The sequence below is a fragment of the Homo sapiens genome, chromosome 11 (assembly GCF_000001405.40).
Source record: "Homo sapiens chromosome 11, GRCh38.p14 Primary Assembly".
NCBI classification, from domain to species: Eukaryota; Metazoa; Chordata; class Mammalia; order Primates; family Hominidae; genus Homo; species Homo sapiens.
This window is the reverse complement of record NC_000011.10, coordinates 122,686,346-122,714,079: the sequence shown is the minus strand read 5'-3', so window position 1 is coordinate 122,714,079 and position 27,734 is coordinate 122,686,346. Positions and strand designations below refer to the sequence as shown.

At 45.7% G+C, this 27,734-nt stretch overlaps 1 protein-coding gene across 2 annotated transcripts in view, besides 1 other annotated feature; it reads right to left on the bottom strand.

Annotated features, from left to right (window-relative positions):
- Positions 1-27,734, bottom strand: part of UBASH3B (ubiquitin associated and SH3 domain containing B) — a 158,752-nt gene that overhangs the window by 100,394 nt on the left and 30,624 nt on the right. The window lies entirely within an intron of this gene.
- Positions 25,802-26,302: an enhancer, noted in NCBI's record as "H3K27ac hESC enhancer chr11:122558486-122558986 (GRCh37/hg19 assembly coordinates)". NCBI's record gives its function as "activates a minimal SCP1, AML or CMV promoter by ChIP-STARR-seq in primed H9 embryonic stem cells {active_cell/tissue: H9 hESC(primed)}" and the evidence as "EXISTENCE:reporter gene assay evidence [ECO:0000049][PMID:30033119]".

Genomic DNA, 27,734 nt, shown 5'->3' with positions numbered 1-27,734 from the left:
CTTTGGAACCTAAGGTGACCAAGAGTGGAGGGGTCACGGCAAGTGTCTGCAGCAGTGTCCTTGACTCCTGCCTGTTTCCAGAGTCTGATTATCCATGCCCCTGATAGTTCTGTGAGCCACCTAAACTCGTTTCCTGCTTAAGTTATCCAGAGGTGGTTTCTAACCTGGATATAAACATCTGATGGAAGGCTGCACTGGATGAGGTCACAAAGCCAGCTGCATATCTGAGTTACTGGTGGAGTTCAGTAAAAATACAGATTCCCATGTTCCCCAAGACCTACTGGATCAGAATTTTCAGGAATAACCCTGAACATTCATTTTTTTTTTTTTTTTTGAGATGGAGTCTCGCTTTGTCGCCCAGGCTGGAGATGACTGACATGTGGCCAGATTTGGGAGTGGCTGAGATAAATAAACTTTAGGGCCCCCAAAATAAAATACTATGATTTTCAAAAAAACTCTTACCAAGAATTTGGCCATGGCTCTCAGAAAAATGCAACATGCCTATAGTTTCTTTATAATTGCTAACATAAAGCTTATCTTTTTGGACAAATCACACACACTCCTAAGAGGCTAAAGCTGTAATATATCTTCTATTTCCATAGGATATTCCTTCCAAGGCCTTTTGCATCTACAGATCTATTATCACAGTTGATGTAACTTCCCACCTTCCTCAGGTGGGTGAGATCCATGATTTCACATGCATTCGTCTGATGCCGCAGAGTCAGCTGACCACATGGCTTTTTACTTCCCAAACCAAAGCCTCTCTTCGTCGTGTGGCTATTCTTGGGATCTACAGTGCACCTCCTGTGTGCCCTAAAGAGAGCTTCATCCCATGTGAGCCTCAACTCCTCTGTGTGAAAATGAGGAACACTGGGCCGGGTGCAGTGGCTCACGCCTGTAATCCCAGTACTTTGGGAGGCCGAAGTGGGCGGATCACAAGGTCAGGAGATCAAGACCATCCTGGCTAACATGGTGAAACCCCGTCTCTACTAAAAATACAAAAAATTAGCTGGGCGTGGTGGCGGGTGCCTGTAGTCCCAGCTACTCGGGAGGCTGAGGCAGGAGAATGGCGTGAACCCAGGAGGCGGAGCTTGCAGTGAGCCGAGATCGCACCACTGCACTCCAGCCTGGGCGACAGAGCGAGATCCATCTCAAAAAAAAAAAAAAAAAAAAAAAAAAAAAACCACCCAGAGAAGAAAGATGAATGTCCAGTCAGCTTCCTGGGGCTCAGCTCAGAGATGTACATCCCTGTACCACTATTCCTCATTCATCCAGGAGCAAAATCCCCTCTTCTCCTGCAAATGTAACTGCTGTTAAGAAGCTGCACTTGGTAGTGGAGTTCTATATACTTCAGGGCGTTTGCTTTTGTTTGTGCAACACCACAGGTAGGAAGGTACCTGTGAAACCCATGGAGTTCTCCTCTTGCCTCCCAGCTAGTCAGGGCTGTTGGGTACTTTCTGGGGTAGAAATTCCCTAGCTTCCCTTGGTGACCCTCCTGGTGCTCAACAGGATGCAGAATGTGAGGGAAAAAGAGCGAGCACCAACAGGACCCTGGTTTATGCCTATTACTCAGGGCCAGGATGGAAGCAAGCATGAGAGCCCCTGGGTCCATTTGGGCTGCTGAGAAAGCCCCTCTCGTGTGACGTGCGTCCCCCACCAAGGAAGCATCCAAGTCCACCCTGGGTGTGTATCTACCCAAGCAGCTCCTTAGGAAAGTCAGCAGACCTCCCACCTCCTCATGCTGGAGCTTCATGTCAGCTACCGCCCTCCAGAGGACTTTGAGGACAATATGGCCATCTGGTTTCTGTACAATCTGCATCCGTATAGTGCTCATAAACTTATCTTCCAGCTCGTTCAAAATGTACACAGCTGAATTCTACTGCTGACTTTGGCACTTGCTCCTGGTATCTGAGAAGAACAGATTCAATTAAAAAGGAAATAACAGATGCTGCAAATCACTCCCTCATTTTCAGAGAAGTTTTTTCCCCCTAGTGCCCTGAATTACTTGATGATGAACAGCAATGCAGTAAAAAAAAAAAAAAAAATGCAGCTGGCATGACAACTTCCAACTTGGCTTCAAACCAAGGGGAAGCTGCGGGCTGTCCTTTCTAGATGGTCTTTATGCCCGGCACATTCCTTTCTTTGGTATGGGTATTATTGTGTAGAGAACTTGGCTGGAAGTAAAGGGATAGAAAAAAATGAACCCTGGGGTTCTTTTAGCCTTAAGATTCTTTGCTATTACTCACTCTTCCTCACAGTATCTTTGTGAGGGGTGTATGTAGTCAGTGGGACATTGAAGGCAGGATTAGTATTCCCATTTTAGAGATGGAAATGCAAAGGCCCAAGGACAGCAGGTTATTTGCAAACTCCAGTAAAGGAAATTGGTTCTATCAGAAAACCTTGATTCTTTTTCCACATGCACCTGTGCCCGTTACACAGCATGAGGTAGTAATGAGGCCAAGGCCAGGCTGAAGTGCCCGGGGGCATGCTCAGGAGACTTAGAGGCATACACGCACTCCCGGCACATGTCCTTGCAAGGCACTTAAAGGCTGCCAGTGCCCGGCCTTCCTCGGCTCCGTTCAGGCCTGCTTATCACATCCTGCCCTGTGCTCAGCTTCACTCTGCCTGAGTCTTGTGAGCCTCCCTTGGACTCAGGGGTGACCATCTTGTTATTGATGACTTGTGATGGGACCCACGTGGCTGGAGAGTGACGAAAGAAAAATGGAAGGAAAGAGATGCATTTGGAATAGGGTCTGATTACCTCTCCTCTCTTTCCCTAAGCACTAAAATGATTACGAATTCCAAGGTTTGGACAGGAGATGGGGGACCCCCAAAAATGTCTGCTACAGAGATTTTGGGAGCCTGGGACTGCAAGATTAGGAGCTCCCTTGCCAGAGTGTATAAAGAGGAAGGGTGGGGGCTCTCTTCTGGAGAATTAACTGAGGAGATTCTGCCTGGACACTGAAGCACAGAGTCAGGAGAGCCCAGGCTTCCTTCCATGAATCTCGTTTCCAACAGTCATCAGAGAACAGGGCTCCCACACTTCCTAACCCATTGACTTTGCTGGGACCTTATTTTCTGAAACAAGAGTCAAGACCAATGTTTCCTCTATGGCCTGTCAATGAAAAGGGATGATTTGAAAATTATGATTATCCCTGAAAATCCAGGGTATATGCCTTTATGTTCCCATGGCTGCTCTACCATCTCCACCCCCACCACCCTGCCCCCAGGACAAAGCCTACCCACCTGGGGTTCCTCTCCTTATGGAATGAGAGTCAAAAGCTCTAGGGAAGTGGTATGCGGCATGGGCTTTCTGTGTTCCCATTGCCTACCAATTCTACATGCCCCGTCCCCCTCCCCAATTCTCCCCAGCAGGCCCTTATGGGGCAGCTTCCACCCCCTATACCACTTCTACTTTGGTGCCTTTATTTGTCCATTTTTGGCTATATCGGCATTAGCTATGATTTAGCAAGATCACACGCTTCTGGAGGCAGAGATTGAGGATACCACGACCAGATGGATGGATGAACGTTTGACTTCTGGCTCTGCCACTTTTCAGGTGGGGGAGATCATGTCTGGTCCTTAATGTCCCTGAGCCTTCTTTTCAAGAAATGGGATGAGACTGGACCTGCCTTGCAGGGTGGTTGTGATGACACAGAGATAATGTGTGCAGAAGGCAGCACAATGCCTGGCTTGTAATAAGCGTGCACAACAATGGTGGCCCCACCATCTCTCCAACCACCAGCCCGCTCCGGGACTTGCTCTTTCGCCTCCTCCTAAATGCCTTTCCTAAACTGCATTTACCTCTGTCTTCTAACTGTTGGCCTTATCTTTCTTCTGCTCTGAGAACCTAGAAGCTAGACCATGTTGTTTATTATGATTATCTTAAATCCATGATTCAGAATGCTTTTTTTTTTTTTTTTTTTGAGACAGTCTCACTCTGTCGCCCAGGCTGGAGTGCAGTGGTATGACCTCGGCTCACTGCAGCCTCTGCCTCCTGGGTTCAAGCAATTCTCCTGCCTCAGCCTCCCAAGTAGCTAGGATTATAGGTGCCCGCCACCATGCCTGGCTAATTTTTGTAATTTTAGTGGAGACGGGCTTTCACCATGTTGGCCAGGCGGTCTCGAACTCCTGGCCTCAAGTGATCTGCCTGCCTCAGCCTCCCAAAGTGCTGGGATTACAGGCGCGACCCACAGCCCCTGGCCTCGAGAATGCTCTTTTGATCTAGGCAAATGAATGAACTAACAAATGAACAAACACATAAACCAAAAACAGGTTAGAGCTCTAGTTTTTGAGACCGTGTGATAATCTCTTCCAGAACTCTAGGAGAAAAGGCTAGGTGGGGACTCAAATTCCTCCCTTGCAAAAGCCTTAGATTAGATAATTCCACCCAGGATGTCAGGAATGCTTGATGACTTGGAGCATTTCTGCTGATTGTAGGCCTATACCCAGAAAGAGTTAACCAGCAGCTGCTGGGTTTATTTTCATTCTCTTTAATAAGGGAATCAAAGCAGCAGGACACAAACACACTGAATCTCTAATCACTCCAACACCCACACATGTTCCCCATCCCCTTCTGATTTAGTAAAGTCAAAGCTCGCTTACCACGCAATACATTTGACTGGCTTCTACAGCGGCTCACTTGTAAGTGATGAAATCTCAGCTTTTCCCCCAAACCTTTATTCCTGAAAGTCCATCATTACCAAATTCTTCCCCTGGAATAGATATTGGTATTGCCCTCTTGCTGCAGCCTCTTTTACAACGTAGACATGAAGGTGGGGCTGGGGATGGGAAAGTGAAGACTTCTAAGTCTCCAATAACATAGTTTGTTTTGAGACAGGGTCTCGCCTTGCTCTGTCACCCAGGATGGAGTGCAGTCGTGTGATCATGGCTCACTGCAGCCTTGCCAGGCTCAAGTGATTCACCCATTTCAGCCTCCTGAGGAGCTGGGACCACAGGCATGTGCCACCACACCCAGCTAATTTTTGTAGTTTTTGTAGAGACAGTGTTTCACCATGTTGCCCAGGCTGGTCTCGAACTCCTGGGCTCAAGCCATCTGCCAGCCTCAGCCTCCCAAAGTGCTAGGGTTACAGGCATGCACCACCGTACCTGACCATGAATGAGTTTATCATGTTTAAGTTGGCTGGGTTCTGCATTAAGGGAAGGTGATGGGAAATGACCATGTACTGAACACTGGCTAGATACATTATATACATGTTCTCATTTCTCAGTAACTGTGACAGAAGGATTATTATATGCTTTCGGCTGGTGAGAAAAATTGAAACCTAAAATGGGAACTTGCCCCATATTACATGGCTCCTGGAAGACAGAGCCAAGACTCATGCCAACATCATACTTAGAGATGCCTGACTCCAAAACCTGCGTGGATCTTTTTGAGGGATGCAAGTGAATGGTGCTGTCTATTTGGCAATAAAACTTTTTGGAAGAATGAATGAATAAATAGGTTACCAAAAGCCAAACAAGAAGGCCGGGCACAGTGACTCACACCTGTAATCCCAGCACTTTGGGAGGCCAAGGTGGGCGGATCACTTGAGGTCAGGAGTTCAAGACCAGCCTGGCCAACATGGTGAAACCCTGTCTCTACTAATAATACAAAAAAATTAGCTGGGTGTGGTGGTACATGCCTGTAATCCCAGCTACTCGGGAGGCTGAGGCAGGAGAATTGCTTGAACCTGGGAGGCGGAGGTTGCAGTGAGCCGAGATTGTGCCACTGCACTCCAGCCTGGGTGACAAGAGTGAAACTCCATCTCAAAAAAAAAAAAAAAAAGCCAAGCAAAGTTCAAAATGACTTAACAAAACTCCTTGGAGAATAGTCAGCATCTCACCTCTAAGGAGCAACCTCTCCTAGCCTCTCTTCTCTAGCATGTTGAAGATGGTGGTGAGAACCTGCTCTTAATTCCTTTCCTTTGGACACTGAGTCTCCAAAGAGTAAGTGGCTTGGAACTAAAGCCCAGTTTTCAGATTTCTGGCTCAGTGTGTTTCCTAGTATTATGATGTCAGGAGAAGAGATAGCCAAAGAAGAACTCTATCGTAGTATTCAGGCATCATAAATTATATATTAGAGGCCAGGTGCAGTGGGTTCATGCCTGTAATCCCGGCACTTTGGGAGGCCAAGGCAGATGGATCGCCTGAGGTCAGGAGTTCGAGACCAGCCTGGCCAATATGGTGAAACCCCATCTCTGCCAAAAATACAAAAATTAGCTGGGTGTGGTGGCGCACACCTGTAATCCCAGCTACTCGGCTGTGGCAGAAGAATCGCTTGAACACAGGAGGCGGAGGTTGCAGTGAGCCAAGACTGCGCAACTGCACTCCAGCCTGGGTAACAGAGCGAGACTCCATCTCAAAAAAAATAAATAAATAAAAATAAAAATTATATATTAGATTAGCTGTTTATTGCTACTGGAAGAGACAAATGAGACAATAGCCTTTAACTGCCACCTGAGATTTAGGTTGCTTATTCATTCAGCAAATATATATTTACCAGGCATTGTGGTTAGTAATGACAAAAAATAAAAAATAAAAAGATAAGCTGTCAGAAACCTCACAACTTAGTGAGAAAGAAGGCTCATTCAAATAATTGTCTTTTATCATGGCAAGTGCTAAGCAAAGTACAAACAAGGTGCTTGGGCAGCCCAGAGGAGGAAGAGGCAAATTTGTTCTCTTGCAAGGAGTAGAAGAGGCACCACGCAGAGAAGGCACACGTTAGGAAAAGGTTACCACTCCCCGTCAGAAGCAAGAGGAAAATAGTGGAAAAGCCTGCAGAGTAGGGTTGTAGCCTGTTCTTCTGGGACAGGAGAGTGTCATTGCCTAATGGCTTCCAAGAAAGTAAGTAGGTCAGCTAGTCCCAGATATTTGGATTTTATGGACCAATATCCTTTGAAAAACAGGGGTCTATGGGGTAGGCGGGGGTGGATTGTGTGGATTTAATGTTTAATTTTCTCCAGCAAAAATCTGCATCTGAAATCCCCATGATCAATTACCACCATCAGTTCATAAAAGTAAGGATGTTTTAATCACAAAAAAAGTAGAAAGGGTACCATCTCAGAATAAAAGGAACTTCCTTCTAAGGAAGATCATCTACCAGTCTTCCACTGGCATTCTTTTTTACTTGACTCATTTCATTGTGGACTAATGACAACAGAATTTAGGTCCAAAGTCAGGACTGAAGAATGTAGCCCATTAACCCAGATAGATTTAGAGACAAACAATTTTCTTTTACCTAGAATGGTGCAATCTTCTGCCATATAAACATGTTAATCTACAGAAATGTGCAGCTGAAATTCTCCATCTTATATTCCCTTTTCAGTATGTGATTGCGTACATATATGTTTCTTCTTGGTACTCCTAGCCAAGGATTTCTATAACTATCCATCTACATAGTTCCTCTAAAAGCCTACAAGTCCACTCGTTAGATTCCAACATCAGGAGATCAGCAAGCCTCAAACTCATCATTCTGAAGGCTATCCTTGAGCCCTTCCACAGACACCCTCAGAAAATCAGCAACTTCCTAAAAGAATCTCGTATCTAGGTACTGGAGTAAAATGCAGAATGTACACTCTCTAGCTTAACAACACAAGTTGTTAGCAACAAAGCTATTTCTCCAGACCTTTATGGGAGGAATTTCCCCACAGATGGCCAGATGTGCAAACAAGACCTTTGAGTGCCTTTCAGAGCTTGGATTATAGAAGCCAGCAAAAGTGTATAGCAATGGAGAGGGATTCTTCCAAATAAGCCTAAAGTCCCAAGCCCTAGATCTGAATCCAGGGGTGGCATTAAGAATTAGAGCTCTGTGGCGCATGCCTGTAATCCCAGCTACTTGGGAGGCTGAGGCAGAAAAATTGCTTGAACCCGGAGGTGAAGGTTGCAGTGAGCTGAGATCACGCAACTGCACTCTAGTCTGGGCAACAAGAGCGAAACTCCATCTCAAAAAAAAAAAAAGAAAAAAAAAAAAAGAAAGAAAAGAATTAGAGCTTTGGTAAATAAAGAAGGAATTTTTTGGCTTTTCTCTTCATGATGGACATTTTGACCCCTTCAGAATGGACATGAGGTGGCCTGAGAGCTGAACCCAGGCAGCCCCCACTTGTGTCCCAGTGCCTCCGTGTGACTTGTGGAGTGGATGCCACACCTGTGATCACAGGAGTCCAGCCTGGTCAACGCCTCACAAAAGAAGGGCATCAGCTGCTGCGGATTGATTTAGTCAGAGCAAGGGTGGAACGAAGTCCTGTGATAAAGTTGAACGAAGATGGGACGTCAGCAAATCCATTGGCAGCCATTTTCTTTCTACTCTCAAAGCCCCCCAGCCTCCCTATTAACTACATGAGGTGGTAGATGGCAGTGGATGCCCCCATGAGTTGGTGAGATTTAAGGTCCCTGGTGAGGAAGCCCAGAAGCCACAAGCACATTTGTGACGGTAGCGCCTGGGGCAATAGTCCTCCTTGATTAGGGCTAGAGAGCAGGCCTTGCTTCAACAATTTCTGTGAGACACTGTCATAGCGTGTAAAGGGAAGGCTGGCCCTCGGGCAATGGGTAGTGGACTCTTGGATTGACTGTCAGTAATGGAGGGATTTTAGATTTTTTTCTTTTTTTCTTTTTTTTTTTTTTTTTATGTTTTTCGAGACAGAGTCTGGCTCTGTCGCCCAGGCTGGAGGGCAGTGGTGCGATCTCAGCTCACTGCAACCTCTGCCTCCCAGGTTCAAGCGATTCTCCTGCCTCAGCCTCCTGAGTAGCTGGGATTACAGGCACATGCCACCACACCCGGCTAATTTTTGTATTTTTAGTAGAGATGGTTTTCACCATGTTGGCCAGACTGGTCTCAAACTTCTCACCTCAAATGATCTGCCTGCCTCAGCCTCCCGAAGTGCTGGGATTACAGGCATGAGCCACTGCTCCCAGCCAGGATTTTAGATTTAGCTGCAACCTCAAAGCTCTGGGACTCATGAGTCCGGCTGGCAGCTAGGAGGGCAAACTGTGTCCACGGGGATAGTTTCTGTCTGTGCAGAGCCAAGGCCCAAACATATGTTGGCCAGGTTAGTGCCTGCTCCCTCCCATAGTTACAGTAACAAGGCTTAGAGCCTGAAAACAAATCCTTCTTTAACCATAGGTCTTTTTATCAGAGTGACCTTCTTTTCTTCTAACCCCCCAAATAAGGAAAACATAAGACAGTTGCCTATTTTCACCCAATGCCACTTCGAGAAAGTGCGGCCCTTAAAGAAACCTCATAATAAAGTTTTCTATTAAAAAAAAAATTGTTGACGGGGCACGGTGGTCATGCCTGTAATCCCAGCAGTTTGGGAGGCCGAGGCGGGCAGATCACTTGAGGTCAGGAGTTCAAGAACAGCCTGGCCAACATGGTGAAACCCTGTCTCTACTAAAAGTACAAAAACTAGCCAGGCATGGTGGTGCGTGCCTGTAGTCCCAGCTACTCGGGAGGCTGAGGCAGGAGAATTGCTTGAACCTGGGAGGCAAAGGTTGCAGTGAGCCGAGATCACGCCACTGCACTCCAGCCTAGATGACAGAGTGAGGCTCAGTCTCAAAAAAAAAAAGATTTCCAGAGACACTCATCTGTAACCTCTCTGAGGAAAGTGGCCTCTCTAACACGCCACCAACCTGACACTCGGGGAATTCGCTTATCTTCTGCAACTAAAGCCCTTCGGTTCCCCCATGCTCAGGTGCTCCTGGAAACTACTCTCCTACTCACGGCTGACCCGCGTAGCCTTTTGTAAGGCCATCTTCAACAGAGGTAAAGAGCAGAAGGTGTTTTCAATGCTGAGAAATGTGAACTTCTTCCAGCCACCTTCTCAGAGGAAGACTCAAGAGACTGTGATTCAGATGCTCCATATGACACCAAGTTAGACTGTTCAACTGGCAGGTTTCAAGCCAAGGACTCAGCCCGTAAATAAAAGGTCACTCAGCTTTCGTTCCTGTAAGTTGCCCATTCAGCTTATAAAGCACTTGCTGCCTTTGGCAAAACTTGGCTTTGGTCTACAAAAGCCCCACCGCCGCAGGCACCCTGAGTAAGTTAGGTTGGTTTCCGAGTCCAAGTGAGTCATTGTTGAGGTCTTGACTATTAGCACCTTGGAGACAGTGTCCCCCAAGCCAAGAGATCTTGTCCATAAGATAGGGAAGGACAGCCCCTCCAGTGCCTGCAGGTCACATTTGAAGAATTCCAGGTCCCTAGAGTTCATATCCCCGGCTTATGCCATCACCTGTCTCTCTTCTACCCTAGAGAAATGCATCTTTCCACTAACCACTAAACCAGTATCAGGGCGCCATGTTCTCTTGCTTTTAGAATCCCAGTCATTTCCTGTGTCATGGGACATGAGATGCTTGTCTTCAAAAAACAAGGGGCTTTAAGTACAATAAAACAATACATTATATTTATGCCAAGAACTTTATGTTTAACCCTCGAGTCTCAGACAATCCCACTTATTCACAATGTCTAAAAGTTTCTATTTCAGACATGATCTAAACTTCTTTTTGAAATCAATAAACTGCCCCAGTTTCTAAACCTAATCTATGACTTGCAGGCATTTTCCCCCATATTTCCAAGGGAATAAGCATCATTTGACACTATTTATTTTGAAAAGCGGTGGTGGAGGGGAGAAACAATATATTTCTTTCTTTTTTTTTTTTGAGACGGAGGCCTGCTCTGTTGCCCAGGCTGGAGTGCAGTGGCACAATCTCGGCCCACTGCAACCTCCGCCTCCTGGGTTCAAGCGATTCTCCTGCCTCAGCCTCCCGAGTAGCTGGGACTACAGGCACCCACCACCACGCCTGGCTAATTTTTTGTATTTTTAGTAGAGACGGGGTTTCACTGTGTTAGCCAGGATGCTCTCAATCTCCCGACCTCGTGATCCGCCCACCTCAGCCTCCCAAAGTGCTGGGATTTACAGGCATGAGCCACCGTGCCCGGCCAAAGAAAAAAATATTTCAAAGAAGTGGCATGTCCACCACCAACCCTGTTCAGTAAACATCTACTAAGTACCTGCTGTGGGCGAGGCTTGGGGGAAAGAGGAAAGAGGACATTTCAAAAGGAATCAGATACAGCACTGATCTTGAGGGAGTGTCCAATTTGTTTATAGAATGAGTGAATAAATGAGAAAACAAATGATGAGTGAATGCAGAATCAGGATTAGTAGTAAGTTTTATAGCAATTCCACTCCTTCATTTAATGATGTTAGTATAATTCAAAGATGAGTGAGGAGAATATAAATTTTTCCTGAGTTAAAAATCTGGCCAGGCACGGTGGCTCACGCCTGTAATCCCCAGCACTTTGGGAGGCCGAGGCGGGTGGATCACCTGACGTCAGGAGTTAGAGACCAGCCTGGCTGACATGGTGAAACCCTGTCTCTACTAAAAATACAAAAATTTGCCGGGTGTGGTAGCATGCGCCTGTAATCTCAGCTACTCGAGAGGCTGAAGCAGGAGAATCGCTTGAACTCGGGAGGCAAAGGTTGCAGTAAGCTGAGATCGCACCATTGCACTCCAGCCTCGGCGACAAGAGCAAAATTCCATCTGAAAAAAAAAAAAACCTGGTGATTTTTTTTCCTACTGCTTACTGTTTTATCTGTTCCCCAAAACTCCAAACACGTTTCTTGCAACCTAGGGTTCTCTGAAATCTCCAATCTGACCTTGAACGATGAAGGCAAGGGATCTCCGTGCTTGGTAGGGGTAGGGTCCTATATTATACTTTATGTGATGATATTCTCTGGCCTCCTTTAAGTACTTTAAAAAGATCTTTATTTTAGACTCTTCTCTCTCCATGCTGATGTCATTAGTATTCTGGATGAAATGTTTCCTTGCACGTAACTATGTTGGACTTGGATTCATTACTAAAGCAAATAATTCGGTTTTCCTAGGAACAAATGCTACTTTTCCTCATGGGCTGTTTGCTGACCATCCCTCTTGGTTGAGCATACGCTGCATTACTTGGAAGCCACATGTTAGGACTAAGGGAGACATAGAGAAGTAAAGAACACAGCATCTGTCCTCAAAGAAACGGTCGTCTTCACTGGGAGGGAAGATTGAAATGTGGCATTACAGCTGGGCGTGGTGGTTCACACTTGTAATCCCAGCATTTTGGGAGGCCGAGGCAGGAGGATCACGTGAGCCCAGGAGTTTGAGGCTGCGGTGAGCATGATCATGCCACTACATGCCAGCCTGGGTGACAGAGCAAGACACAGTTTCTTGGAAACAAACAAACAAACAAACATGGCAGTACGAGGGCTCAGAAGGGAAGATGCTAATATATTCACTCAGAGTTCAGAAAAGGCAGATGGTTTGCTTTGGGCAAAAGTTGTCAGGAGAGGTTTTCAGACCAAAGCAAGGACATCTTGAGGGGAGAGTCAAAAGGAAAGAATTAATCCTATTTTCAGCTCTCTATCCCTGAATACTCTTAGTTCCTTCAAGCAGCAGTGGGCTAACAAGTGATGCTACAGGACCGTATGCCAATGCAAGCGAGGACCCTGTGACCTTCAACAGACCTCTGCGTCACCATGGAGCTTTGAGATGAGTGTCAGAAGGAAGAACAAGCTCATTTTGAAAAGTACACAGACGTTGGAAACTGTGAGTATTACCCAAAAAAAAGCTTGAAAGGCTCCCATCCCCATCGGGTGACCAGCAGAACTTGCCACTGCAAGAGCCTCGTTCTCATTAATAAGAGTTCATTTTATTATTTCCATGCTATGTAATTTCTCCCACTGCCTTTTAGACTGGAACATTCAACTTTTTGCACTTCATATTAATTACCCTGGGGGATTCAGGCTACAGTGCACAATAAGAAGACCCAATTAGAACATTGCCTACTGTCTTTTTGTTTCTTTGTAATCCAAAATCAATCAATAACATCCTTAAATCCTCACAAGAAATGACTAGAGTTATTAACGTCTTGGACAAAGAAGCCAAGAAATTCAAAGCAGATGGAGCAGAATCACACAAATCACACAACCATGCAAATTAGTAGCAGCCCGTGGGCTTGACAGGGTCAGAATGCTGGGGGTTGGGAATTTTTAATATGAAACAGAAAATATACCCCATAACACTAATGTTCTTTTTGTGATGAGACGTGATGATTCTGGTTTAATGTGGAGCAGGGTGTCTTCAGGAGCTCTGAGAAAACACAGGCTTCCCAGTGCTCATCTACATAGCACATCCCTGTCTGGGACAGTTTACTGTTCACCCTACATGAAGTGTTCTCTCACCTGTCAGAAACACACTTCCTCTACAAATTGCATCCCCTACTGTTAACATCAAGATCAGAAGTAGGCCAGGTGCTTTGGCTCATGCCTATATTCCCAGCGCTTTGGGAGGCCGAGGAGGGTGGATCACCTGAGGCCAGGAGTTCAAGACCAGCTTGACCAACATGGTGAAACCCCATCTCTACTAAAAATACAAAATTTAGCTGGGTGTGGTGGTGAGCACCTGTAATCCCAGCTACTGGGGAGGCTGAGGCAGGAGAATTGTTTGAACCCGGGAGGTGGAGGTTGCAGTGAGCCGATATCATGCCACTGCACTTCAGACTAGGTGACAGAGCGAGACTCCATCTCAAAAAAAAAAAAAAAAAGATCAGAAGTAAACTATGAGAGTGAGTAAGATGAACATATGAACATTTACATTGAAAAATGTGAAAAAAACTTAAGATGTAATGGTGTTTGGAAAAGAATTGTTAACTGTATCCACTAAACCATAAAGCTTAACAAAATCCCAAACTTGGGAAATGAATTTTAAAAATGGACTCACCATGTGTAACTCTGGTCAGAGCCTAAACAAAGGAGGAGACAAAGCTTATGATGTCAGCCCATCTCATTCAGCACTGGGGACTTTGTGCTAGTTCAAAGTGTTGAGGAATTGGATCTCTACCTAATCATAAGAGACTGACCTCTTCCTCACTCCAACAGCGGTGCTGCTCCCGGGGGAATGATGGTTACCTCAGTTTCTCTTGGCCTCTCAGATGTGCAGCATGTCGGGTCTCCGCTAGTACCCACACATGATACCTCATGCTGCAAACCTACCCACTGAATACGGCCAAGTGAATAAAGCACCACCAACAACACGACCTCTAGTTCCACTGCTGGGCTCTGGGTACCATTGTCAATTCCTTGATCGATTTCCAAAGCTAAACAATAATATTTACGTAAACCTTAATAGATTACAAGACATTGAAATATCAGTCATCTGGGCTGGGCATGGTGACTCATGCCTGTAATCCCAGCACTTTGGGAGGCCGAGGCAGGTAGATTACTTGAGCTCAGGAGTTCAAGACCAGCCAGAGCAACATGGCGAAACCATGTCTCTACAAAAAAATACAAAAATTATCTGGCTGTCATGGCATTTGCCTCTAGTCCTAGCTACTCAGGAGGCTGAGGTGGGAGGATCGCTTGAGCCCTGGAGGCGGAGGTTGCAGTAACCAGAGATTGCACCACTGCACTACAGCCTGGTGGCAGAGGGAGACCTTGTTTCAAAAAAAAAAGAAAGGAAAGAAAGAAAAGAAAGAAAGAAAGAAAGAAAGAAAGAAAGAAAGAAAGAAAGAGAAAGAAAGAAAGAGAAAGAAAGAAAGAAAGATTTAAAAAGAAAAATCAGTCATCTGATGTGTTTCTCACAATAATTTTGGAAGGTGGATAATATTATCCACAGGCATTTCACAGAAGAAGAGATAGCATAGAGGTTGCAGGAAATGCCAAGAACACATAGCAGCTTCCTAAGATTCAAACTCAATTCGGTGACTCCACGTGCCACACTCCTCTGAGTTGTGAGTTCTCTAAGATGAAGATCACATTTTTCCATCTGTAAGACACTGAGTGTTGCCATGAGGATTAAATAAAATAACCTAGGTACAGCAGGCACCTAATAGATACCAGTTCCCTCCCATGCCCCTCCTCCATCAGGGGCGAAAAGATTTAAAAATAATCCCAATCCGGGCGCAGTGGCTCACGCCTGGAATCCCAGCACTTCGGGAGGCCAAGGCAGGTGGATCACCTGAGGTCAGGAGTTCGAGACCAGCCTGGCCAACATGGAGAAACCCCGTCTCTACTAAAAATACGAAAATTAGCTGGGTGTGGTGCTGGGCACCTGCAGCCCCAGCTATTCAGGGGGCTGAGGCACGATAATCGCTTGAACTGGGAGGTGGATGTTGCAGCGAGCCGAGATCGCAACATTGCACTCCAGCATGGGCTACAAGAGCAAAACTCCATCTCAAATAAATAAATAAATAAAATCCCAGTATATGGTCTGCACACACTACACATTTATAACCACAACTTCAGATTAAAGTGAACATTAATGACCGTACTGAAGCAAATAGATTTCCAGAGGCATGGGGAGTGCTGGGTGTCGGGTGGATGGAATGTGGGGGCTGTGGGATCATTGGGAGTTAGGGAACTAGCTTTAGGTTCTGACCATTGTAGCAACTCAGTGAGCCTCCACACACGGCACCCAGGATGCTCCCACACCTGGTTTCTAGTATCCTCACAGCTGGCACCTGCCTTACCAAACATATGCCCCAGGCTCTCCCATACTGTGAGTGCAGTTTTCATTACATAATGCATCCATCTTCTTGCTCTTCTTTAGCCTTATACCATCCTAATTTTCTATAGTTCCAAAGCCATTCTCTCCTGCCTTGTTGCAAGGTGGGGAGAAAATGTAAAATTCAAATGGTCACATAGTGTTACTTGGGAACAACTTTTGCCAGAGCCTAGATGAGGGGCATGGAAGATTTTGGAAGGTGGGGAGCAACAGAAGATAGAAATCCATGCCTGGTGTGAATTGCAACAAAAATTTGGCGTGACTATGGGGGTATGGGTAGGGGGAGAGGAGGTCATCTGCAATGTTGACAACTTTTCATCTAATACGACAGAGGAGAATTCCAACTCTAAGAGAAGAGATCTGCCAGGTATACTGGCAAGAACACTGAGACTACGTGGCTGAGCCCAGCTCTGCCCTTAATTTGCCAGAGCAGTCATTCCACCACCCTGGTTTCCTCACTGAGAGAATGTGCGGGTTGGACAGGGCTGGCTTTGGAATGAGACAAATCTAGGTTCAAATGCAGGCTCCATCACTGACTCGTTATGCAACTTTCGGCAAGTTTCCTTACATCGCCACGCCCCAGTGCTCTTAACTGTCAGATGAAAATGAGAGAATGTGTTTCCGGAGGCTGTTTGAGAATTAAATGAGGAGGTATATAAATATACTCCCCCTTGGACAGTGTCAGGTCTATGAAGCTCCCAGCACAGCAGCTGCTTCCTCTTTTCTTTATTCTAAGTTGCTGTAAACCCATGTATCTATGGTGCAACGCAATGACTCAATCCTTGCTTATTTAATGTGGCTATCCTGCCCAACCTAAGTCCTGACTATCAAGGTACTGAGGTGCTGTATGCTGAAGCAGCAAATAAACAATTCACATTGGACAAGAAGATGGAAACAAGTGTGAGGGAGGATGGTGGAGGAAAAAGGATCCAGAAGTGGGAGGCAGTGGATCTGGGTTCGAATTCTAGCGCCCTCAGTCACTAGAAATCTCTGGAACTCTATTTGCTTCAGTACGGTCATTAATGTTCACTTTAATCTGAAGTTGTGGGTATAAATGTGTAGTGTGTGCAGACCATATACTGGGATTTTATTTATTTATTTATTTGAGACGTAGTTTTGCTCTTGTAGCCCATGCTGGAGTGCAATGTTGCGATCTCGGCTCACTGCAACCTCCACCTCCCAGTTCAAGCGATTATCATGCCTCAGCCCCCTGAATAGCTGGGATTTCTGAGCTTCAGTTTTCTCTTCTGTAATAAAGGGAATAATCACATATGTAAAAGTACTTTGTCGATTGGAAAGCGCAATTGAAATGTTAGTGGTCTGTTATGCCACCATTCCCGTTGTTTGGAGAGTCCAATTACTTGAGTTTGAAAAATGTTTTGAGAGCTATCTAATTCCTCTTAGCAGTCAAACAAAACTTCAAACTTCCCCCCCAAACCCTAATCTTCAAAATCAAATGGCTGCTATGTAGATTACTGATGTATCCCCAAAAGAGCTGGGCTGACTTTTCTTTGCTATGAACAAACACCGCCAGTGACCCACTGGAGTCACCAACTCCTGGTGGCCTGATCTTTACTTGAAAAACAATACGGTAAACCACCCTCCTATTTTAACAGCTAGCACAGGGCAGGGCGGGAGGAACCCCCACCCACGCTTGCTCTGAACAGAAATCGTGCTGCAGCTGATGTGAAAACAAGATAAGGAGAAATGTCTGTCAACAGACTCCGGCCTGCCCTAGAACTGGGGTGCTCTCCGTGTATTCTGTACAGATGGGAAGGCAGGGGCCATTAGCCACCTGCAATTCTGCTCTGATGTGGCTGCGGTACTAAACACGGCCCAGGAAAGGGTGGGCATAGCTCGGACACACGTGCAACTTACACATTCTAGTCTTTAGCTAAAGTCTTTGAAAATACAGATTTAGAAATGTAGTATTGGTTGGGTGCAGTGGCTCACTCCTGTAATCCTGGCACTTTAGGAGTACCAGGTGGATCACCAGAGGTCAGGCATTTGAGACCAGCCTAGCCAACATGGTGAAACCCTGTCTCGACTAAAAATGCAAAAATTAGCTGGGCATGGTGGCAGGTGCCTATAATCCAAGCTACTCAGGAGGCTGAGGCAGGAGAATCGCTTGAACCCGGGAGGCAGAGGTTGCACTCCAGCCTGGGTGACAGAACGAGTCTTCATCTCAAAAACAAAAAGAAAAAAGAAAAAGAAACGTAGGGCCCTGAAGAAATCCTCATTAAGGTTAAAATCCTGCCGGCTTATTACCGAGAAATTAAAAACTATTTGGGGCCGGGCGCAGTAGCTCATGCCTGTAATCCCAGCGCTTTGGGAGGCCAAGGTGGGCAAACCACCTGAGGTCAGGAGTTCAAGACCAGTCTGGCCAACATGGTGAAACCCCGTCTCTACTAAAAATACAAAAATTATCCAGGCATGGTGGTGGGCACCTATAATCCCAGCTACTCAGGTGGCTGAGGCAGGAGATTCGCTTAAACCTGGGAGACGGAAGCTACAGTGAGCAGCGATCGCACCACTACACTCCAGCCTGGGCAACAGAATGAGACTCTGTCTCAAAAAATAAAAATAAAATAAAAAATAAAAAAACTATTTGGTTATCAGGCTGAGTGGAAACATAAGCTCAATGTGACTATTTAGTAACTTCCCAACAGTTCTAAACTACCACCCGTAGCTCTAAATGAAAACTTCATTTTTTAACCACTTTGGGCATGGCTGGGATGTAGGAATCAATGTGTTGATGCAAAAATGCTGCAAGGCAGTTCTTTTCTCTGTCTTTCCTGAGCATCATTAGACCTCCAGGGAGTGAGGCACTGTGTAACTGAAGGTCCAAACAACATATCCAAGGCACTAAGAGGATCACAATGCATAAAACACGATGTGCATAAATGCTGATGGATAACGGGGAAAAAGTAAAAAAGAAAAGAAAAAAAAGGAAAGAAAACCACAGAGTCTCCTAAGAGCTGCTGAAATGGCGACAGCATCAGACACTTATTAGCATTCACCACTCAAGGAGATATTCCCAGAAGGGGTTGAAGCGTTATCAAGGTTGGGAGGACTCAGCATGTTTGCAGAGGAGGAGCCGGATGCATATGCTCACCAGCCTGCTGGCACGAGTACTGGAAACTCCCACCCATCCGCAGGCTCTGATCAGATCATGCCAGAGCTTCAAGCTCCTTCCAGGCATCCATGCAACTGAGTGATGACAGGAGTGGATAGAAGAAATAAATGCAAGGTTTTGAATTTTAAAGCAGACCAGTGGGCCGGGCGCGGTGGCTCACGCCTGCAATCCCAGCACTTTGGGAGGCCAAGACGGGTGGATCACTTGAGGTCGGGAGTTCAAGACCAGCCTGGCCAACATGGTGAAACCCCGTGTCTAAGAAAAATGCAAAAATTAGCCGGGCATGGTAGCAGGTGCCTGTAATCCCAGCTACTAGGGAGGCTGAGACAGGAGAATCGCTTGAACCCGGGAGGCAGAGGTGGTGGTGAGCTGAAATCGTGCCACTGCACTCCAGCCTGGGGGAAAGAGGGAGACTCCACCTCAAAAAAAAAAAAAAAAAAAAAAAAAAAGAAAGAAAAGAAAAGAAAAATAAATAAAATAAAATAAAAATAAAGCACATCACTGGTGGATGGCATACCCTGGCATACCTCAAATTAAGCACAGGCTAAGTGTTCTATGCTAACAGCTAGGGTTTTCAAATCCACTGTGGCACACTAAATCTTGACACTCAAGGAACCCACAGTCCAAACAAGGCTTGTTTTAGGAGCTCTTCCTTGCCCTGTGCTTAAAACCCTTAAAACTTAAAACTCCCTCCACTGGCTTCCGATTATCAATAACAGCATTTCCAAGACTTCAGCCATTTCTACCATCAACCCATTAATTTTTCTATATCAATATCTATACTGTACTATATTTAAGTAACTTCCTTCCTTCCTTCCTTCCAAGTTTTTTTAGAGACAGAGTCTTGCTATATTGCCCAGACTGGACTGCAGTGCCTATTCACACATACAATCATGGCACACTGCAGCCTACAACTCTCAGGCTCAAGCGATCCTCCCACCCCAGCTTCCTGAGTAGCTGGGACTACAGGCATGTGCCACCATGCTGGCCTGAGTAAGTTTCATTAAAATAACCTATCTACTTTTATTCAAATAACTTTTGAAGAAAATGTTATTTTTACCATAAACAGAAAATTAGTACCACTTGCCATTAAAAAAACAAAACAAAAAAGGAAACAAAGGAATCTTACTAAATTCTTGTTACATCCCCTCCCTGCCAGTGTTCTGAACCTAAGGCCTATAGCTCTCATAAAAAAGAGATTAACAAGTACTAGAGAGGTTTTAAAGATAATAGGCTCTGAACTGAGCCCCTCACCCTTTGTAATTAGAATTGTAAAAAGAAAAATTGTTCATTATGTGATTCATCATTTCTTAATGTCACGTCTACATATCACCCAAATCAGGCTGCATGGGCCACCTGATACCACCTGCGTGCCCTAGTCGACCTTATGACTGGGCCTCCATCGTTGCATCCCCAGAGCTTCAAATGTCACATAGGAAAATTGTAAGCACACAACACAACTGGGTGAATGACTGAATGAATGGATGCATCGCTTAGCCTCATCATTCTTTCTTTCTTATTTTTATTTTTTTCGAGACAGAGTCTCACTCTGTCACCCAGGCTGGAGTGCAGTGGCACCATCTCGGCTCACTGCAACCTCCGCCTCCCGGGTTCAAGATTCTCTTGCCTCAGCCTCCTCAGTAGTTAGGATTACAGGCATGTGCCACCACGCCTGGCTAATTTTTGTATTTTTAGTAGAGACGGGGTTTCACCATGTTGGGCAGGCTGGTCTCCAACTCCTGACCTCAAGTGATCCGCCCACCTCAGCCTCCCAAAGTGCCAGGATTACAGGCATGAGCCACCACGCTCGGCCATCATTCTTTATTTCAGCCTCATTTACAGGCTTATTTTTCCTCCCATGACCCATGCCCACTCATCCCTCCATGACTTTGTCCATTCTGTACCTTTCTTGGAATGTTTTACTTTTCCTCCAACTGGTCAACTCTAAAATCTTCAAGCCTTAAGGTGTGTGATCTTCCCTTGATGGTTTCTCCTTACCACTCTGGGTGGAGAATAGACGTTCTTCTCAGTGTGCCCACCACACACTTATTGTCAGGCCTCTGAGCCCAAGCTAAGCCATCATATCTCCTGTGACCTGCACGTATACATCCAGATGGCCTGAAGCAACTGAAGATCCACAAAAGAAGTGAAAATAGCCTTAACTGATGACATTCCACCATTGTGATTTGTTTCTGCCCCACCCTAACTGATCAATGTACTTTGTAATCGCCCCCACCCTTAAGAAGGTTCTTTGTAGTTCTCCCCACCCTTGAGAAGGTTCTTTGTCATTCTCCCCACCCTTGAGAAGGTTCTTTGCCATTCTCCCCACCCTTGAGAATGTACTTTGTGAGATCCACCCCCTGCCCACAAAACATTGCTGCTAACTCCACTGCCCATCCCAAAACCTCTAAGAACTAATGATAATCCCACCACCCTTTGCTGACTCTCTTTTCGGACTCTCCCCACCTGCACCCAGGTGAAATAAACAGCCTTGTTGCTCACACACCACCTGTTTGGTGGTCTCTTCACTCGGACACTTATCACACTATAATCACAAATGCACTTGTCCTTTCTCTCCCTACCAGTCTCTAAACTCCTTGAAGGGAGGAATGTGTCTTCTATTTCTGTTGCCAGTACCTGGCATTAGTTGACACTCCATAGATATGTGTGGAATGAAAGCATCTCTGGCTATTTCCCCATATTCTCCGATCGTATGAGACAAACCCTGTCTTTCCCTTCTCTGAGTTTTAGCACATACTGTGTCTTTGACCAGCGTGCCCTCGGCAGTATGCAAACTGTCTTCCACATTCCTGCTGAGAAGGCTCACGGGGCCCATTCTCCAAGCCAAGGGTGCATTCCTTCCTCTCTGTTCCCACCATACCCCCTGAATATCACCTTTACTGTAGGGTGTATCCCACATCTCTGCAATTCTTTGTTTCTATGCTGCTGTAATTCGGTAAATTATGAGCTTCTTGTTTTTGTGTCCCCAAGGTTTAGAGAGTGGTTGGCATCTTACAGTGAGTAATCAATAGATATTAAATACTGTCTCAAGAAAAGAATGAATGTTTAGCAAGAAAATATTTTACTAATGTTTAGTAAGAAAATATTCATCTTTCTTCTCTTAGCAATCCCAAAAGTCCCTGGAGTTGAGGTCAGTAAAACCATAAACATATTAAATTTATTGCTGACTTATATGGAGTACCTACTATCTGCCAGGCACTCTGTCAACATTATCTAATTTAATTATCCCCATCTTGTGAGGTAGGTACTTCTATTGATGCCAATTTCCAAGTGAGGAAATCTGGGCTTAGGCTTAGGGAGATTAAATCACTTGTCCAAGGTTCTGTAAGTGGCAGAGCCAGCACATGGAACGAGGCCTGAAAAGCTCCAGTGTTCTTAACTACCACTCTGGCCTGGACTCTGAGCTTATCCTGTCTGACCTACCGCCCTCCTTCATGATCAGAAGCCAGATCCTGGGCAGATGGATCTGGGCCTGCCTGGGGGTAGCACTGATTGTGTCCTTTGAGAGCCCAGCTAAGCCACCAAGCAAACCCTGCCCAAAACACAGAACCCCGTCACAAATGGCCATCACAGCCTTTTGCTCAAGCCAGGGGACTCAGCAAAATCACCAGCTCCACATCTACCCAGCAGAAGGCCAGGCAAGGCAGCCTTTTCATTGATTCCAGAAATGTCTCTTTTTCATTTGTAAAATACCCACATTTTGGGATTTTCCCGCAAGTGGTGGGTGGCTACAGCAATAACAGATGAACTGGTATCTTTGAAAGCTGAATAAAAACACTTTTCAATAAAGATTTTAAGCCTTAAATTGACTGAGGAGCTAAGTGAGAGTCCAGCAGCACCCCGGTGGGAGAAAACATTGGCCTGGTTTTTATAACTGCATTCCCTGCACGAGAGGAAAGGGGTTACAGCTGCTCTTTCTTCACTCACAGCCTGTGTTGAAAGCATCTGAGCTAACAAAGGCCAGTTTCCTCTAGTTTGCACCCAAGGAAGTCAGAGAAATGCTGCTTGGCTGCAGAAGATTTGTCCAGAAAAGAGTGACTTTAACCTACAAAAGCCAGCTTCAAATAGTTGTATAAAATTTGAGAGGAAAGAAAAGGAGTCAGAGCCACCTTGTAAAAGCTCCTTCCTGCTTCTTGATGATGTTACCAGAATTCTCTGCAGGAAAGGCCCGGCAAAGGCACAGAGCAGAACACACAGCCATGTGGTTTCGTTTTTCCAGTGATGAACCTCTCAGGAGAAAAACTCCGTTTTGGAGAGAGGCAAACATATCTGGACAACAAGTTAACCATGACCTTTCATTTGCTGGAAATGAGCATAACCCAGGGGGAGAATCCTGCCTAGGGGAGGAGTCCGGAAGACCCGGGGTTTGGTTCTGGCTTTACCGCTACTTTGCTTCGTGGCCTTCGGTAAACCATTTAAGCACTCTGGGCTTCAGCCTTTCGCAGAAGTGAGAAGATCGGGCCCAGTGATCAAGTTCCTCAGCTCGGAAATACTATGATATTAGTAGCATATTACAGAGCGCAAGATGACAAGTCTGACTCAACTCTCCCAGGTGCTGTACCCTAAGGAGAATCCTCTTCCACTAGCAGCGCACACCACCCTCAGCCATCATTCCCACAACCGAGGCATTCACAACCGATGTGAAATAAGGCAACAAGCGTGAGTTTTGGAGGGAGCATAGCGCTATGTGTCTCTCACTGGCTCTCCATGCGTATGTATCTAAACTTTAGCAGCTGCTGGGCTCATGACAGCCAGTGGATTCGGAGGCCAGAAGATATTGGCAAGGGATGCTTGGGACAGCAGCAGTTTGACTGCCAGGACCCCATCTTTGAGGCCGCTGAGATGTCACAGAGGCTACCTGAACTTCAGATAGGGTAACACAGTGCAACCACACACCCTTCAAAACCATGAGAATGTAATCCTACTTAGCATTTCACTTACTAAAACCAAAAGTCAGATGTAAAGTAAGCTCAGAATAGTAGCTACCATTTATGGAGAGCTAACTATATGTAAGGCACTGTGCTAAGAACTCTACATGTATTATAATATAGAATCCTCATTATATATATATATATATGTATAATTGGAGATATATATATGTATAATTGGAGATATATATATATATAATTGGATATATATATATATAAAATTGGATATATATATATATAATTGGATATATATATATATATATATATATATATATATATATATATATGTTTTCCTGCCTCGGGAGCAGGCCTCAGGAAACAGAATCTCTCTGACCATTCACCTGCCCTAAGGCAGGACTTTAATCTTCCAAAGCAGGCCTCTGACTGTGGGTCAGAAGACCCTCCCCAGAGAATGTCCCACCCTGGGGGAAGAAATGCTGAGGTAATGAGACTTCCAAGAAAACCCAAGAAGGCGGGGTTTGGTGGGCTGCCCACACGGAGGGTCCTGGAGGGTGGCGCCAGGGGAGGCCGTGGAAGCTCCATGCCCCTTCCCCCATACCTCACCTTACACATCTCCTCAACTATATCCTTTGCAATATCCTTTATAGTAAATCAGTAAACATAAGTGTTTCCCTGAGTTCTGTGAGCCGCTCCAGCAAATTAATTGAACCAAAAGAGGGGGTTGTGGTAACTCCCAACTTGAAGGCAGTTAGTGAGAAGTTCCAGAAGCCTGGACTTGCAACTGGTGGGGATGAGGGCAGTCTGGGGCCAGAGCCCTCCCACTGTGGGATCTGAGGCTATCTCCAGGTAGACAGTGTTGGAACTGAATTGGAGGATACTAGCTGGTGTCCGCTGCTTGCCATGTGGGGAAAACCTCCACATGTGTTCATAGAAGGCTTCCTCGGTGTTGATGATTGCTGTTGCGGTGTAAAGGCAGAGGAAAAACCCAGTTTGAGAGTTTTCTGGAAACAACCTCCATTTTACAAAAGCGAAAACTAAAGGCTTTTAATCCCACTCTGCTATTCAGGACACAAAAATTCGTGTGTAAGAATATTCATCTAAATAAAATGACCTAGTTTTCCAAAAATAGGGAACTGATTAAATAGTATATTCATGTACTAGAAATGCAGGAGAAATCATTTTAGACAAATAATTGACAGAAAAATGTTTAGACAAACAATTGACAGCAAATTGCGAAGTAATAACCTCAATTTTGTTTAATTTAAACATAATTATAAATAATATGGTATTTATTCTTTGGGTTTTTCCATACTTTTCAAAATTTACACAATAAACATACGTTACTTTTTACATTGTGGGGCTATTTAAAAGCCCATCAGAAATAACCAACAGCTGGCCAGGCGCGGTGGCTCACACCTGTAATCCCAGCACTTTGAGAGGGCGAGGCAAGTGGATCACTTGAGGTCAGGAGTTCGAGACCAGCCTGGCCAATATGGTGGAACCCCCCCCCCCCCCGCCTCCCCGCCGTCTCTAGTAAAAATACAAAAATTAGCCGGGCGCGGTGGCTCACGCCTGTAATCCCAGCACTTTTGGAGGCCCAGGCAGGCGGATCACGAGGTCAGGAGATCGACACCATCCTGGCTAACACGGTGAAACCCCGTCTCTACTAAAAATACAAAAAATTAGCCGGGCGTGGTGGCGGGCGCCTGTAGTCCCAGCTACTAGGGAGGCTGAGGCAGGAGAATGGGGTGAACCCGGGAGGCGGAGCTTGCAGTGAGCCGAGATTGCACTACTGCACTCCAGCCTGGGCAACAGAGCAAGCCTCCGTCTCAAAAAAATAAAATAAAATAAAATAAAATAAAATAAAAGAAAGAAAAAAATTAGCCAGACGTGGTGGCGGGCGTCTGTAGTCCCAGCTTACTCGGGAGGCTGAGGCAGGAGAATGGCGTGAACCTGGGAGGCGGAGCTTGCAGTGAGCCGAGATTGCACTACTGCTCTCCAGCCTGGGCAACAGAGCCAGACTCCGTCTCAAAAAAAAAAACAAACAAACCACAAAACCCCAAAATTAGCGGTGTGGTGGCATGTGCCTGTAGTCCCAGCTACCCGGGAGACTGAGACAGGAGAATTGCTTGAATCAGGGAGGCGGAGGTTACAGTGAGCCGAGATCGTGCCACTACGCTCCAGCCTGGGCAACAGAGCAAGAGGGAGGGAGGAAGGAAGGGGAGGAAGGGAAGGAAGGGAAGGAAGAAAGAAAGAAAGAAAAAGAAAGGCAAACTCCCATCCCTCTCGGTGTCTGGATCCTGAGGAAGTGCTTTAACAGGTTCAGATTCTACACAATTGTCATCACCCCAATTAAAACCAAGAAGTCCCCTCAGCTTCTCCCTTTGTTCCTGAGGTGTGCAGTAAATAGGTGGGAAACCAAGGCAGTTGAACAGTTCTTTCTCCAAGGCTGGGGCACCTGCCATGCCGAGTGGCCCAGACCCCTATGTTCTAAAGAAGTCAGGCAGAGAAGCAAAAATAAAACCACTTAATAAAAGAAAACAAAATTTATGTATAATCTATCTCTGCTCAACTATTATGATATCATTATTATTAGGTATTTAAATGAGGCACTGATGGCAGGATAGGGAGGTAAGACAGGACAGAACTGGCTTCATGACTTGGCAAATTCTCTCATCTTGGAGACACGGGAGCACCAGGAAGAAGATGATCATGGAGAAATAGCAAGACTCAGAGGTGTGGTGGGGGAAATGCAGAGGCTGGCCTTCAAGCACACATGGATTAAAATGCGGATCCCATTTTACTGAGTGATGCTGTGCAAATTCTTAACTTTCTCATCTGTAAAATGGGTTTAAAGAGGCTGCTGAAAGAAATAAATACAGCATACAAAACACATAGTAGAAGCATAGCAGAGGACATGCAGTAGGTGCTTAATATCTTTCTCGTGGTCCCTCCTCACTCATCTGCCCCCCCAATACAACACACCTGCTCTCCATCTTCCTCAAGTTCTAAAGTTTTCCCCTTCGCAGAAGAGTAATATAAAACCTCCCCACTGGACGCCCAGTGCTGTGAGGGACCATGTTAAGTGGAAGGTTTGAATCAAAGGGCAAGTCATTTCATCAGTCATCACTGCTAAATAAGAATCAGGCAAGTTGCCAGCTATTTCATACTTGGAAATACCGTGACCTTATATGTATTACACACTGCTAAAGTGTCTACCATGATGCCATCAAAATCATCTACCATTTTTGTGGCTTATGACAGACTTTCTACTTTTGTATTTGCTGTATCTTACTGGAGGTACAGAATAGAAATAGCCTCATTTGCCCAGGTGCGGTGACTCACACCCGTAATCCCAGCACTTTGGGAGGCCAAGGCGAGTGGATAGCTTGAGGTCGGGAGTTCGAGACCAGCCTGGCCAACATGGTGAAACCCCCATCTCTACTAAAAATACAAAAATTAGCTGGGCGTGGTGGTGCACATCTGTAATTCCAGCTACTCAGGAGGCTGAGGCAGGAGAATCACTTGAACCTGGGAGGTGGAAGTTGCAGTGAGCCCAGACCGCACCACTGTACTCCAGCCTGGGCGACAGAGCTAGACCCTGTCTCAAAAAAAAGAAAAAAAAAAATACCTTCATTTTACTTACCGAAAAACAGGGCTTAGAGAGATGGGTTGATTTGTCTGAGATAAGCTGGCATATAGGAATAGCACATAGGATAAGCTGGCACATAGGATTAGGAAAGGGAAAAAGTCAACACCTGGACTAGTTATTTCACTAAGGCATTTGTGGTAGGGTAGGAAGAAGAGACAGGGCCTTCATTCTCCTCCCAAACGCCTGCACACGGAGCTCTATTAACAAGCCTGGATGGCTTTTCCTCCAGGGCCATGTTCTTTCCCTGCACACCACGGCCAAAAGCCTTACTCATCCTGCACAGATCCAGCCCCCAAACAAGTTTTATGGTTGTTTTCTTAACATTTAAGACCATCTCAGTACCATCTCCACCTTTCCTATAAATCTACCACTCCACTGGCAACACATCCTTGGATCCCGGTTAGGAGGAACGCTTGCTTCCGGATCCACACCCTGGAGTCAAGCCTTGTGCTTCCTCTCAGAATAATTGTACCTGAGTCTGCTGTCTCACGCTCGA